A 15,496-nucleotide genomic window follows, 5' to 3' on the forward strand; every position below is an offset into this window, starting at 1 on the left:
CCACTGCCATCAGTAACAAACCTGCTCGCTACCACGGCTGTGGCATTTTTCTGTGGCATTGTTTGTCTTTTTCTTTTTGATTTGTAGGAGCTGTTTATATATATTTGAAAGGAAATATATATTCCTTTCAAAATACATATGTTGAATCATATACATTTTTCTTTGGTAAGTGCTAACAATATTTTTCCTGGCCTATTGCTTTGCTTTGAGTGAATTGTATTTATTTAAGGCCAAGCCTTAACTGGAAGGATACTTTTTTTCCTCCCCAAATCTTGACTTCATGAATAATAACAGCTGCTTCTCTCACTGAAAAACAAAACTGGAGGTGGCAGAGGGTGGGTGAGGTCATCGTTATCGGTTTGCAGGCTTTGAGGCAGAGAGCATCTGTAGGTAGAGGCAGCTGCGGAGAAGATCATCCAGGGAGGCTGCAGGGAGCGCAGTGCTGCTGGAACCTGCAGCAGGGAGACTATTAAAGGGTCCAAGCCACTGCAGCCCCATGAGGAGGGGCCCACGCAGGAAAAGAAACGGTGTTGTTAGAACTTAAAGTCCCGCTGAGATGGTTTCCACCTGGGTTCACGAAGAAGGCTCCAGAGACGGGTTCGTTAGATGACAAGGCTGACTCCCAGGTGGTGATCGCAAACACGAAGACACATCTCAAGCCACAGGGGCTTCCGGGAGCCACACAGGCTGAGATTGGCATGATGGGCACAAGATCTGCCTTTGCAGAGGATGCCCTCCCTGGCGGGGGCTGAGGAAACAGCCCATCACCTTCCTTAGGCTCCTGCCCTCTTTGTATGGCTCTGGGAGGTAGAGGGACTTAGCTGACAGTTGCGTAGTGGAACGGAGGGGATGCTTGGATCCCTCATTGGTCTCATTCAACTGGTACAGAGCTCAGGCGAGCAGGAGGGACATTATTATTTATTTATTTATTTAGTGGAGATGAGGTCTTGCTGTGTTGCCCAGGTAGGTCGTGAACTCCTGGGCTCAAGTGATCCTCCCTCCTAAGCCTTCTGATAAGCGATCCTCCCCAAATGTTGGGATTACAGGTGTGAGCCATCATGCCCAGCCCAAGAGGGGCATTATTTATTTAATGGGGTTTCATCTGTAACCCCAAATCCCCCTTGCCAATGCCTTGATGTCTCTGGATACAGAGGTCTCCCTTCTGGCAGCTGGCCTGGAGTCAATAACCACAGCTCCCATGTATGTGCTGGTCTTGCTGCTCCAGGTACCGTGCTGTGCAGGTGTAACAACTCTATGAGGCTAGAAACACCATTGCCCCCATTTTGTAGTTGGGAAAACTGAGGTAGGAGGAGGCCAAAAAATCACCAAGCAATGCTGCTGCTTTCTCTCTAATCCCTGGTCTCTCCTCCTATTTGTGGAAGCCTTTTTAAATTTTTTTGAGATGATGTCTCACTCTGTTGCCCAGGCTGGAGTGCCATGGCACAATCTCGGCTCACTGCAACCTCTGCCTCCTGGGTTCAAGTGATTCTCCTGCCTCAGCCTCCCCAGTAGCTGGGGTAACAGGCATGTGCCACCATGCCCGGCTAATTGTTTTTGTATTTTTAGTAGAGATGGGGTTTCATCATGTTGCCCAGGCTGGTCTCGACCTCCTGACCTCAAGTGATCCACCCACCTTGGCCTCCAAAAGTACTGGGATTACAGACATCAGCCACTGCACCCGGCCAGCAGAGTCTTTTTGCCAAAACGCAAGGATGGTCTCCAGAGTCCCGGTTTCTCTGCAGCTGGGGAATACTTTTCTGATTTCAGTCTGGAGTACCAGTTTTCTGAAGTGAGGACTGTATCGGCCAAATCTTAGAAGGAGAAGATCACGAAAAAGCGTCTGCAGAAAGAGAAGAAAGGGGTGGTACACTGCGGAGGAGGAGGGTCCACTCCAGAGGCTGCAGGTGACACACGGGACCCCCTCCATGGATGTTGCTATGGTTTAACTATAAATGTCCCTCCAAAATGCATACATTGGAACCTAATACCCAATGTGAAGGTATTAAGAAGTGGACCTGGCCGGGTGCCGTGGCTCATGCCTGTAATCCCAACACTTTGGGAAGCTGAGTTGGGAGGATCGCTTGAGCCCAAGAATCCAAGACCAGCCTGGGCAACACAGGGAGACCTCATCCCAGTAAGAAATTAAAAAGTTAGCTGAGCATGGTGCTATGCTCCTATAGTCCCAGTTACTCGGGAGGCTGAGGTGGGAGGATCGCTGGAGTCCAGGAGGTCGAGGCTGCAGTGAGCTGTGATTGCACCACTGCACTCTACAGCCTGAGTGACAGAGTGAGGCCCTGTCTTAAAATTAAAAAAAAAAAAAGAGATGGTCCTTTTGGGAAGTAGTTCAGTCGTGAGGACCCCACCCTCATGAATGGATTAATGCCCTTGTAATAAAAGATGCTTCAGAGAGCAACCCAGCCTTTCCATTCCTTCCACCGCATGAGGACACAACATTTGTCCCCTCTCAAGGACACAACAACAAGGCACTGTCTTGGAAACAGAGAGAAGACCTTTCCCAGACACCACATCTGCCAGCACCTTCATCTTGGGCTTCCCAGCCTGTAGAACTGTGAGAAAGAAATTTCTCTAATTTATCAATTATGCAGTCTAGGATATTTTGCTATAGCATCATGAATGAACTGAGATGGTACGAGGCAGGGATGCAGACAGGTTCTAACGTGGGGGTGGGGAGGCCAGACTAGAGCTGGGGTCGTGTCTTTGGTTGGAGAACGACAGGCATATTAAACAAAGATATGACCCTTTGATTTCTTGCCCAGGGGTCTCGCTACTTCCTCTCACATCTTGATATGGTTTTGCTGTGTGCCCACTCAAAATCTCATCTTGAATTACAATCCCTATAATCCCCATGTGTCAAGGGCGGGACCAGGTGAAGGTAACCGGATTATAGGGGTGGTTCCCCCATGGTCTTCTTGTGATAGTGAGTGAGTCTCACTGTCATGAGATCTGATGGTTTTATAAGCATCTGGCATTTCCCCTGCTGGCACTCACTCCACGAAGAAGGTGCCTGCTTCTCCTTTCTCTTCCGCCACAATTTTAAGTTTCCTGAGGCCTCCCCAGCTATGCAGAACTGTGAGTCAATTAAACCTCTTTCCTTTATAAGTTATCCAGTCTTGGGTATTTCTCCATAGCAGTGTGAGAATGCACTAATACACATCTGTCTACCAGCACTTTAGCCATGGATGTGTCAACATATTACCTTAAAATTTGTTCACAAGGTACCAGGCTGGGAAGAAAGTGCTTCACCTGTCCCTGACAGCTTTTCCTCCATTTGGGGCATCTGCAAATATCTTGAAGTTGTAGGCAGAACCGAGGTGTGAGTGAACACATGCAGGTATGTGCATTTTTTCTGCAAAAATAATCCACGGCTTTCATCAGCCTTTCAAAGGCATCCTCTGAGAGGCTAAGAAGCATTGTTCTAGGTTAATGATAGTTTCCAAAATGGGCAAGAAACGAGACTCTTAATCTAGAGATCACAGGATTCCAGGCTGCGCCTGTGTTGGGTAACAGCAGGAGAAAGGTCAAAACCACCCATCGACATCCTGTGTGACTTTGGGCTAGTTTACTACCCTCTCTGAGCATTCTCATTTATAAAAATGTAAACAAACACAATACCTCCTTCCAGAGCAGGGGTGGGGAGTAAATGAAGTTATGTGCTTAGAGGCCCCTGCCCGGGGCTCCATCTCTCCACCTGCCTGCTTCCTCTGCTGTCTCCAGCAAAACCTCTCTCCTCTTTTCGGTCTGATCCTCCAGCCTGTGCATTGTTTCTGTATCTTTGGGATTTTTTCTTCCTTCCCACTGCACCCACCCTCTGGTCAATATCACTGCTATTTCTATTTGCAACAGGGCAGGAGAAGGAAGTGGTGAAACTTTCTTTAACTTTACAACCTTGGAGCAGCCACAGTTGATATTTGGGGAGGAAGAAAGCTGAGATTATCAGCACATCCAGGTCTGTGCTTCCCAATATTCCCGATGCTTCTTTGTCTACTGACTCCTCCCTGGTCATGAATAATTAAAACTCTGGCCATGCTCAAATGGCCTAATGCAACCACTACAAGAAAACATTGGGGAAAATATCTTACAGGCTCCAGAAACACCACACCCAAGGAAGATATTTGCAAGAGCAGATGGTAACAGACACAGGTTGCCTCTTCAGCCTCATCCTGGCTTAGGGCAGCCATGGCCACACGGTTCCCATCTGCGTCTGGCCCACTGAGGTGAGAGGAGGTTAGCTCGCTAGGCCTGGGCCCATTCATCTCACTCAGGACCCTAATGCTGGAGCACATTTGTGAGCCAATCAGTCCTTGGGCCTTTTTTCCTTTGAATCTCTACTTTGTTAACATTCAGCTCTCATATTTCCTGGTGACACACGAGGTCATATGTATGGCAAAGCATCCTCTGAAATCATATCGTGCTGTATTGATATTAAGCTAAAGATATACTGATCTCGGGTTGGTTATCTGTTCTTAATTCAGATGGGAAGAACAAGACCCGAAGTGGAGATAGTTCAATCCCCTACCCCCAATTTCCCAGCCGCACCGCTTAGGTACCCCCAAGTGGCATCATGTGACCACTTCTGGCTATCACGTGGTGAACCCCAAAACTTGGGTTCACCCTGAGATGCCACATGGGTTCTTGGCTTCATGCAGGAAGGAATTTAAGAGTGAGCTGACAGAGTAAAGTGAAAGCAAATTTATTAAGAAAGCAAAGGAATAAAAGGGTGGTTGCTCCATAGGCAAAGCAGTGGCATGGGCTGCTTGACTGAGTATACTGTCAGTTCTTTGTTGCTCATATGCTAAACAAGGGGTGGATTATTCATGAGTTTTTTGGGAAAGGGGTGGGAAGTTTCCCAAACTGAAGGTTCCTCCCCTTTCTAGACCGTATAACATAATTTCTGAATGTTGCCATGGTGTTTATAAGCTGACATGGTGCTGGTGGGAGTGTTTTTTCCCAAGCTAATGCATTATAATTAGTGTATAATGAGCAGTGAGGATGACCAGAGGTCGCTTTCCTCACCATCTTCGTTTTGGTGGGTTTTGGCTGGCTTCTTGACCACATTCTGTTTTATCAGGGGGGTCTTTGTGAGTTGTACCTTGCAAAACCAGTCCTGCCTATTCTTGTCTCATTTATTCAAGATGGAGTCACTCTGGTTGGAAAGCCTCTGACATGGCCACTGAGTAGGTAGCAGACGTGGTAGGTGCCACCTCTGGGTGGAAGTATTTTAGAGCTGGTGCAAGATGTCCCTGGTCTGTGTTCCCTGCCACGACAATTGTGGGGGCCACAGGTTGAGGTGTTAGCATTGCGAGAAACTGAGAACCAGAGAGACCGATACGGAGAACGGGAGGATTGTTTATTTTAGGTACGCACTGGCTCAGTGGATTCGCATCCAAAAAGCTGAGCATTGAACAACGACTGAGTGGGGTTTTTATAAGCAGACTTACAAAAGTAAAACAAAAGCAGTTAATCATATAGTGTATAATTTGTGGCCTTGTAGCTGCGTCAAAAGAAAAACAAGAACTGGCTAAATACAGACATTTGTAAAACATAATCACGTTTAAGAAGCCTGGGAAAGGAGTAACAGTAAAGTAATTTATCTTTTTCTCTTTTTTTTTCCTTCAACATTGCTCTGGGGGAGAGGGGTGTCTGAAGCCCATTCCTTTGGCCTTGGCTGCTCGTACAGCATTATCTTATAACTGTCCTTGAAGTGTGCTTGCTAGGCAGAGGAAAACTTCTTTTTTTCTTGTGAACCCTTGCCTGTTACTTTTCTTGGAGTGAATGAATGCATATTTATTTTTAAATTTCTGCCTCATTAGAGCCACCTATGAAAGCAGACTGGATCGCTGAGTCACTCAGTGGAAGCCTGTTTCAAAACACAGTGTATCAGTAGAAATTTTGAGGTATAGTGAAGCCAACAGATCAGGAGATGATTGCTATTGAAAAAGTAGTTTGTTACTCACAGTTCCCAGGAGGAGGGGACACCGCCTGCCACGCCACACAGAGCCACACGGGGAAGCACCAAGGTCAGTTAGGAGGTGGAGGGAAAAGAAGGCTTTGTTTGGTTTGGGTGGGTTGTTTGCATCTGAAAAGTGCTGTCATGGCAACTTGTATCTCTAGAAATTGGCTAACTCTAGGGGGTCAGCGAGGCCCCAGATGTCAGAGCATTGGAATGCAGGAAATAAAAGATGTGGTTAATACCAAGACAAGTGTTCCGGAGGGCTGCACAATCTGCACTGGACTTTGTGGGAGGGGAAATTAAACTTTGTTCTGTGAAGCATTCATACTTGGGGATTCATTTACCACCGGCAGTGTGCTACTGCAGGAACACAGGAGAAGCAGGGGCATGTGAAAAAACAGCAGTCTCAGCATAGGCATAGCATCTGCCACACTGACAAAGTTCGTTCATTTATTCATTCCAATATTCAGCCAGTGGTTGTTGAGCACCAGCTGTGTGTCAGGCCTGGGGCTGGGGACTGGATCACAGAGACCAGGCACTAACCCTGCTCCCACAGACCTCTTAGTCTCACGAGAAAGGTGACACATGTGAAAGGACAAGGATGGGCTGGACACAGTGGCTCATGCCTATAATCCCAGCACTTTGGGAGGCCGAAGTGGGAGGTGCTTGAGGCCAGGAGTTCGAGGCCAGCCTGGGCAACATTGCAAGACCCTGTCTCTACAAAAAAGAAAAAAATTACCTGGGCATGGTGGCATGCACCTGTAGTCCCAGCTGCTCTGGAGGCTGAGGAGGAAGGATCGCTTTAGCTGAGTTGGAGGCTGCAGCGAGCTGTGATCTACACTCCAGCCTGAGCGACAGAGTGAAAGCTTGACTCAAAAAAAAAAGAAGGAAGGACAAAGATGATAGAGTGTGAAGACTGCCATGCAGAGCTGGGTCTCCAGTGGGTGGGTAAACAGAGGAGGGAGTGAATCAGGGAGGACTTCTCACAGGAAGTGACACTTAGGGTAGGTGTTCATGGAGTTACATAAGAATTCCCTGTGCAGAGACAATGGGCACAGATGTTCTGGGATGTCTAGGAAGCACATGTATAAGGGCACGTCCAGGTCTGGCAGAGTTCAGTGGGGCTGGAGCAGAGGAGCACTGGGGTATGGTGAGACATGGCTGGAAAGCCAGCTGGGTTGACATCTGCAAAGGCTTTGGGTGCACTGACAAGGGCTGCAGGTGACTGACGGCCATGCAGGTGACATTAGGAGATTGGCAGTCACAGCCTTTCCTTCTTAAATTCCCCTCACCTCCTTCAGTGGCTGTCCTATCAGATGATTAGTGTTCATTTAACCCCTCTTGTTATAGTTGGGGAAGAACCCCATAAGCTCCTCTAATTTAAGGCAGGGATAGTAAATGCCATCCTCCCTTCCAGCACTCAGGGCAGACATCAGCAATCGATCGACATTCTTTGCATCAGAGGCCAGATTGAGCCTCAGAGGCCTTTTCAACACAGCTCTTCAGGCAACAAATATCCAAGGGCCCAAATTGGTGTGCAAGTCGATTTATATGTCATTTCTGTTTTAAGAGGTTAAGGACGTCGTGTTCTCTTTCTAGAAGTATTTTTACTTTAGAAAAAAGAAACTGCAGAGTGAGGACAAAATTTAGTCAAAGAAATTAATAGCTAATGGTAGAATTTTAGTCTGCAGAAGTTTTGGGAAAGGAAGTCTGTGCAAGTCTCTCAATCCTGTCTCCGTTGTCACAAAAAAATGTTTACGTTGTTTATTTTCCAAGGCAAGGTAAACACCATGGAGCAAGAGACAGTTGTTTCCATGGTAAGCTCCACCCACGATGTCTCCCTTTGTATCCCCCACAATGCCCACAATCGTTCAGGCAAAGAATAGGTGCTCACTAAATGTGTATTGATTGAATCTAAATTGCAATTTTATCCAACACCCTCAGGGAAGCCAACTGGAAACTAAACTCACCCCCATATATTGCTGAAACGCATTGATTACCAAGAAGCCAATGTATGACAGCCCCAACTTGTGAGACGCGTTTTTTCCAAAGCCACGTAAATCGCGATGTGTGCAGCCCGTTGCTCATTCTGTGTCATGCACCGTTGCCAGCCATTTGCTCTTCTCGTTAGCTCCGTGAGGGCAGGGGTCACCGTTTTCACTGCTCAGCCTCCTCCTGCTCGGCCCAGCCCAGGGAGACCCCTCAGTCCATACCTGTGAATGAATGAGTGACACTTACTAAGCACAGCGAGATGAATAATTCATCATTCCTATCCTTCTTCCCAACTTCCTGATCCAGGATGGCATAGACGTGTGGGAGGCGCACATGCTGGGAGGGGTTTGAGTCCCCTGCCCGAGGTTGCAGAGTGCCTGGGGACGGGGGTGGGGGCATGCTGGGGGCATTTGCAGAAAGGGCAGTAGGAGAGCAGTTTGGAGGGAGGTAAGGCAGGAAGCACTCAGTCCTGGGCTCAGGGACTGTGACGTGCTGCTGGAACCTGCCTGGGGAGCTCAGGAATGAGGGGAGATGGCAAATAAAGACCTGGCATGAGGCTGGGGGCAGGGACAGAAATCACCCTGGTGTCCGAGGAAGGAAAGTGGAACGCTAAAGAGGTGAGACGACCAGGGAAAGTGAAACAAGAGAGAAAGAAGGGATGTAGAATTGGATTATTGGGGTGGAAAGAGGAAGCCAGGTGGGGGAAGAGTCAGAGGAGGCTCAGGCAGAGGGCAGGAGGGGAATTGGGAGAGGACAGCGAGCCTTCGAAAAAATCCGGAGCTGGCACCTTCAACAGAAGCCATGGAGCAACCCAAGAGGAGCCTGGGAGACAGCAACTTGGTGGCTGCTGAAAGACAGTTTCAGCTAAGGGGCAGGAGTGAGAGCCAGCCAGCACTGCAGAAGGTGGGGGGAAAGGCAAGCAGCCTAGATGGTTCCTTCAAGAGGTTTGTCGATAAAAGGAGCAGTCAATAGGACCCAGGACAGTAAGTTCATTTGTTCTTTTAAACTTTTCTTCTCTCTGCTTCCTTCCTCCTTTCATTTCCTATCCTTTTTCCTTCCTTCCTTCCTTCCCTTTTTTCCTTCCTTCTCTTTTCTTTTTCCTTCCTTTTCTTCCCTTACCTTCCCCTTTTCCCCCCCTCCGCTCCCGCTTCTCCCCTCCCCCCTGAACCTTCAGGAACCCACACCAGCATGTGATCTCGACTCACTCTTTTTCCCCTGCCCTACTGAAAGCTGGCTGGGGACCTGGAGTGTTTGCAACGACGCAAGATGAGAAGCTGGGTCACTGAAACATTAACTCACAGACCAGGGTGGGTTGCAGCTGATCCAACAGGCTGGACAGCCGCATCAATGCTTCCTAGAAGAGGAGATGGGAGGAGAGAGTGAGCCCAGGAGCCTCTGCGTGGAGACCAAGGGGCCGAGGAGCACAGAAAGCCCCAGGGCTACGCATCTTGGGTCAAAAGTCGCTGAAAAGATATTGATATCTACTTTTCTTTCTTTTTTTTTTTTTTCACTGTCTTTTTCTGGTTTTAGTATCAGGGTAATATTAGCTTCATAAAATGTGGTGGTAAGTGTTCCTTCCCCTCCTATTTTCTGGGAGAGATTATGTAAAATTATTGGTCACTATAGAGATTATGACATACATACACAACTTACCACAAGCTACTGGTGTTGACACTGCCACTTTGAGTAAGTGTAGAAACCTTACTTCCATTTAGTTCTCTTTAGCTTCCCCACTTAAAAATATATGTGTCTTGAGTGTGTTCTTTACATATATTGAACATCACATAAGATGCTGTTACAATTTTTGCTTCAATCATCAAATATGATTTCAGATACTCATGAGAAGTATAGTCTGTTGTATTTATTTCTATTTATGTACTTCCCATAGTTTGTTTTTCTTTTCTGGAGCTCCAAGCATTCTTGAAACCAATGAGAAAAGTGGAAAAATCTCAGTCCAGAAATAGAAGGTATAATTTTTAAATAAAAGCTTCTGTTCAGATAACATTCTTTACCCAATCTTTAAAGATACATTTGCCAACAATAAATGCTCTTAGTTTTTCTTCATCCAAGAATGTTTTGCTTTCTCCTTCATTTCTGAAGGATGTTTTCACCAGATACAGTATTCACAGTTGACAGTTCTTTTTCTCAGTACTTGAAAGATGCTGAGCCACTTCCTCTGGCCTCCATCATTTCAGATGGGAAATCCACTATCATTGCAATTAATTTTTCCCATGTCATAAATGTGTTATTTCTTTCTGACTGCTTTCAATATGTTTTTGTCTTTAGTTTAACTATTTAATTATGATGTGGATTTCTTTACATCTAGCCTGCTTGGAATCCACTAAACTTCTTGAATCTGTAGGTTTATGTCTTTCTCCAAATTTGAGAAGTTTTTAACCACTACTTCTTTGAATACTTTTAGTCTCACTCTCTTCTCCTTTGGGACTCAGAAGGTATGGCTGTTAGCTCTTTTCTTATTGTCTCACAGGTCCCTGGGACTGTTATTTCTTCCGTCTATTTTTTTTTTTTTTTGAGACGGAGTCTCGCTCTGTCGCCCAGGTTGGACTGCAGCGGCGTGATCTCGGCTCACTGCAAGCTCCGTCTTCCGGGTTCATGCCATTCTCCTGCCTCAGCCTCCCGAGTAGCTGGGACTACAGGCGCCCGCCACCACGCCCGGCTAAATTTTTTGTATTTTTAGTAGAGGTGGGATTTCACTGTGTTAGCCAGGATCGTCTCAATCTCCTGACCTCGTGATCTGCCTGCCTCGGCCTCCGAAAGTGCTGGGATTACAGGCGTGAGCCACCGCGCCCGGCCTATTTTCTCTCTATTATTCTGACTGAGTGAATGCTATTGGTCTGTTCTTGACTTCACAGGTTCAATCTCTGTCATCTCTACTCTACTATCAAGCCCATCTAGTGACGTGTTTTATTTATCTTTTTCCTGGTTATTGTGTTTTTCAGTTCCTTAATTCCATTTGGTTCTTTTTTATAACCTTGATTTTTATTGAAATTTTCTATTTTTCGTTTGTTTCAAGAGAATTCATAACTACATTTGAAGCATTTTTGTAATGACTGCTTTTAAATTTGTGATAATCCCTCTGATTCATTTGCATTTTGGTGCCTGTTTGTTTTTTCATTCAAGTTGTAATTTTCCTTTTCCTTGACATGATAAATGATTGTCTGCTCTATCCTGGACATTTTAGGTATTATATTATGAGAGTCTGGATCCTATTCAACTTTTCTTTTTTGGCAGACTGTCTTCCTGTTAAGATGTAGCGTAACGGTTGTGTATTAGTCTGTTCTTGCACTGCTATAAAAAAAATACCTGAGACTGGGTAATCTATAAAGAAAAGATGTTTAATTGGTTCACAGTTCTATAGGCTGTACAGGAAGCATAGCAGCTTCTGCTTATGGGGAGGACTCAGGAAGCTTCCAGTAATGGTGGAAGGCAAACAGGGAGTGAGATGTCTCACATGGCCAGAGCAGGAGGCAATGAGAGGGGTGGAGGTGCCACATATTTTCAAACAACCCAATTTCACGAGAACTCACTATTGCAACGAGAACTCCAAGGGGGATGGTGTTAACCATTCATGGCAAACCACCCCCATGATCCCAGCACCTCTCACCAGGCCCCACCTCCAACACTGGAGATTACAATTCAACGTGAGATTTGGGTGGGGACACAAATCCAAACCATATCAGGTTGGATGAGTTGTATATTCAACCTCCCACTGGGCCCCACCAGTGCTATCGTGACAAAAGTGTAGCACTGATTTACCCTGCTTCATTGCAAATGGGTGGTTGGCAGTGAACTCCCATCTCTGCCTTGATGATACCTTCCCATTGAAAATGCATCATCGGCTTGCACTGTCTTATTGTATCCAAGCTACCCTGCTAGGCTCTGCTGACCCAGAGATGGGAGAACCAGAGAACTGGCTCCCACTGTTTTGTTGTGGCAGAGTGGGGCAGAAGCTCAGCTCTCCACTGGCCCCTGCTGGTAACAGGGTAAGAGAGAAGGGAACTCTTATGCTTCTTTGTTGTGTCATGTCCAGAGATTTTTTTTTTTTTAGTTGTAAGATGGTGGACTCAGGAGAAATGGGGCTACTCTATCTTGTCTAGAGTTAGAAGTTCAGCTTTCTATCTCCTCTGTTTCTTTACCTGTAAAATGGGAACAATACTACCTACTCTACCTACACTACAGAACAATTTTCAGAATTAATTAAGAAGTTCATGTGTATGAAAGTACACTGGGAAAATGTTATATCATGTTATGTTAGTAGACTGTTATTTCTGAGACTAGGGTCTGGCAAGATGTAGCTTGAGAAGAGATAGGATAAGTGGCGGGGCACCTCCATATTCATCTATCAATTTAATGTTGGTGAAAACAAACTTGACAGCCAGAAGCCAGCCTTCTATTGTTTATTTCCCTGTTTCTTTTGAGTCTGTGGTGACCTTTGTCTTGACAAGCAATAACCCTGGAGAAAGCTAGAGGAAAAACAAAGATTAGGGTCACAGCAAGGAGAGAGCAATAAAGTAGCTTTAAAGAGCCTAAGAAACCAGGATAATTGAATATAGTAAGGATTGTGGCTGGGACAAGGAGGTGTCTACAACATCATTTTCAGAAAAACAATCACAAAAGAAAAATAACACTGGAGCTGGGAGGGAAGGAACTAGTTGGAAAGGGAACCCAGAGGAGAAAGGAACAGCCTCTCAGAATAGTCAGCAATGACTCTGCCTTACTTAGAGGTTATGGGACAGGGCTACCAATTGGAGTGACCTCAGTATTACCAATCAGGATGACATAGATCTTGTGCACTTTTGGCCCCTGTATTAGTCCGCTTTTGCACTGCTATGAAGAAATACCTGAGACTGGGTAATTTATAAAGGAAAGAGGTTTAATTGACTCATATTTCCACATGGCTGGGGAGGCCTCAGGACACTTACAATCATGGCAGAAGGGGAAGCAGACATGTCTTACATAGCAGCAGGCAAGAGAGAGCGTGCAAGAGCAGGGAAAAGTGACTTATAAAAACCATCAGATCTCATGAGAACTCACTATCATGAGAACAGCATGGAGGAAACTGCCCCCATGATCCAATCACCTCCCTCCCTCAACACGTGGGGATTACAAGTCCCTTCCTTGACAACTAGTGATTACAATTCAAGGTGAGATTTGGGTGGGGACACAGAACCAAACCATATCAGCCCTCATTCCAGGCAGGCAAAGGGCTCTGGATTAAGATTTGGGGGACCCCTTAACCCCTGTGAGCCTCAGGTTTTCCTTCTACAAGATGAAACTGGTAAAGGTGCCAACTCTGCTTGGTTGTTTGAGGGTCAAATGTGGATCACCCAACCTGTTCATGGTTGGCAATCAATATATATAGTAGTTCCCTGCCTGATCACAGCCCCAGAAATTTTGGCCTCTGTCTAGGCTGGACGCTGACTGTGGGAGGTTCCTCTCTAAGAGCTTACGTGCTCTGCCGTCATTTCCTGTGTTTTCTGGCCCATAGTTGGGAGGGGCATGCCAAGGTGACCATGCCCTAATTTCCCTTTCTAAATCGTCTTCATTGCAGTCTTCTGGTTCTTCTTTCTCTTCTTTGTCCCAGGGGTCTCCATTGAACTCACTGTAGGGGGTGGGGACTCTGGAGGCCTGGTCCTGGGGGCTGATCCTGAGGAAGGGGCATTCCTAGGCCAGAGTGAGGTCCTGGGGTGAACCACAGAGGAAGTTCCATCTCCCACCCCACTCTCCTTGTCTTGAGGAAGTTGACTTTAAATAAAGCCCAACACGCCCCGCTAAACTGCCAGCTCAGAAGACAGGGTCTGTGTCTGTCCTGTTCAAGGGTGTCCCACCCCACACCCCTTCCCCCATACTGGAGTGCTGTGCTGGAGTCAGCTCCTGCCAGCTCAGAAGAGTCAATTCTTACATTTTCAGGAATTTTGCAAATTGCTTGTTAAACATAGCCATTATTAGAAATTAGACTGGCTGGGTGCAGTGGCTCATGATTGTAATCCCGGCACTTTGGGAGGCCAAAGCAGGAGGGTTGCCTGAGTCCAGGAGTTCAAAACCAGCCTGGGCAACATAGGGCGACCTCATCTTTACTTTTTAAAATAAAAATAAATAAATACACATAAATAAATGAAAATACAAATTAGACTGTAAAAGCCTACAATTAAATAAATTTTATTGAAAACAAAGATAATGAATATTCAAAACATATCACTCCTTAATTATTTTGCTGTTTGCTCTGCTCTGCTCTTGGGGTTTGCACCTATTATATCCGCAGAGTGGAGATTCTGTACCATGATGTGCTAGCAGGCATCTCTTCCCAAGTCTGCATATAGTGACACCATGTTGGCAGCTTGATATTGGCCATGGTGGGAGTATTCACACCACAGGAATCAGCAGACACTACAAACCAGAGCTTGCCCTATTGTTTGGTTTGTTGTCTAGATTTAAGGAAGGGATGGAGAAAAGTATTAATGATGTAGATTAAACATAAAAGCATGTCATTGTTAAAGTGTAAACAGCACAGAGAATTTTAAAACTGTTTTTCCAGTATTTCATAACTATTATCAGGGCCTGGCACGGTGGCTCACACCTGTAATCCAAGCACTTTGGAAGTCCGAGGCGGGTGGATCACAAGGTCAGAAGATCTAGACCATCCTGGCTAACATGGTGAAACCCCGTCTCTACTAAAAAATACAAAAAATTAGCCGGGCGTTGTGGTGGGTGCCTGTAGTCCCAGCTACTCGAGAGGCTGAGGCAGGAGAATGGTGTGAACCCAGGAGGTGGAGGTTGCAGTGAGCAGAGATCACGCCACTGCTCTCCAGCCTGGGCGACAGAGCCAGACTCTGTCTCAGAAAATTAAAAAAAAAAAAAAAAAGGATTATCAGATCAGATTCAGCAAGGAAGTCTATTATCATATTCAGCAAGGAAGTCTCTCATGTCATCGACAAAGGAGTCAAGTTCCAGCGTGCACTTTTGTTGTTTTACCTTTATCTTACTTGTTAACATAAATGAAAATATTAGCCACCGTAATCATGGTGAGTAATCATGGCAGGATTACTCTCGTAGAGCCGGTTGTTAAATAGTTACTAGCACACTATTGTCTGGTGATTAGAATAGTACCTTGCTTAGAAGACATGCCCAGTTGTATGAGTCTGTTCTCTCACTGCTATAAAGAAATACCTGAGGCTGGATAATTTATAAAGAAAAGAGGTTTAATTGGCTCACGGTTCTGCAGGCTGTCCAGGAAGTACGGCTGGGGAGGCCTCAGGAAACTCACAATCACAGTGGAAGGTGAACGGGAAGCAGGCATGTCTTGGGTGGCTGGAGCAGGAGGAGGAGAGAGGAGGAGGTGCTACACACTTACAGACAACCAGAGGGCCAGGCGCGGAAGCTCATGCCTGTAATCCCAGCACTTTGGGAGGCCGAGGCGGGTGGATCACCTGAGCTCGGGAGTCCGAGACCAGCCTGACCAACATGGTGAAACCCTGTCTCTACTAAAAATACAAAATTAGCCGGCCATGGTGG

At 46.2% G+C, this 15,496-nt stretch overlaps 2 long non-coding RNA genes across 2 annotated transcripts, besides 1 other annotated feature; both read right to left on the reverse strand.

The window, feature by feature from the left end:
• Positions 1-5,347: 5,347 nt before the first annotated feature.
• On the reverse strand, positions 5,348-9,558 carry LOC124901574 (uncharacterized). Its single transcript, XR_007060192.1, has 2 exons — positions 9,169-9,558; positions 5,348-8,184 (listed from the first exon to the last, which is right to left on the reverse strand). It is a non-coding gene; the product is annotated as an uncharacterized LOC124901574 (long non-coding RNA).
• Positions 6,056-6,736: an enhancer, noted in NCBI's record as "OCT4-NANOG-H3K27ac hESC enhancer chr7:3234434-3235114 (GRCh37/hg19 assembly coordinates)". NCBI's record gives its function as "activates a minimal SCP1, AML or CMV promoter by ChIP-STARR-seq in naive H9 embryonic stem cells {active_cell/tissue: H9 hESC(naive)}" and the evidence as "EXISTENCE:reporter gene assay evidence [ECO:0000049][PMID:30033119]".
• A 4,564-nt stretch (positions 9,559-14,122) lies between the features above and the next one.
• Positions 14,123-15,227, reverse strand: LOC124901575 (uncharacterized). The gene is made up of 2 exons (XR_007060193.1): positions 15,197-15,227; positions 14,123-14,409 (listed from the first exon to the last, which is right to left on the reverse strand). It is a non-coding gene; the product is annotated as an uncharacterized LOC124901575 (long non-coding RNA).
• Positions 15,228-15,496: the final 269 nt, after the last annotated feature.

This window comes from Homo sapiens, chromosome 7, assembly GCF_000001405.40.
Source record: "Homo sapiens chromosome 7, GRCh38.p14 Primary Assembly".
Taxonomy (NCBI): domain Eukaryota; kingdom Metazoa; phylum Chordata; class Mammalia; order Primates; family Hominidae; genus Homo; species Homo sapiens.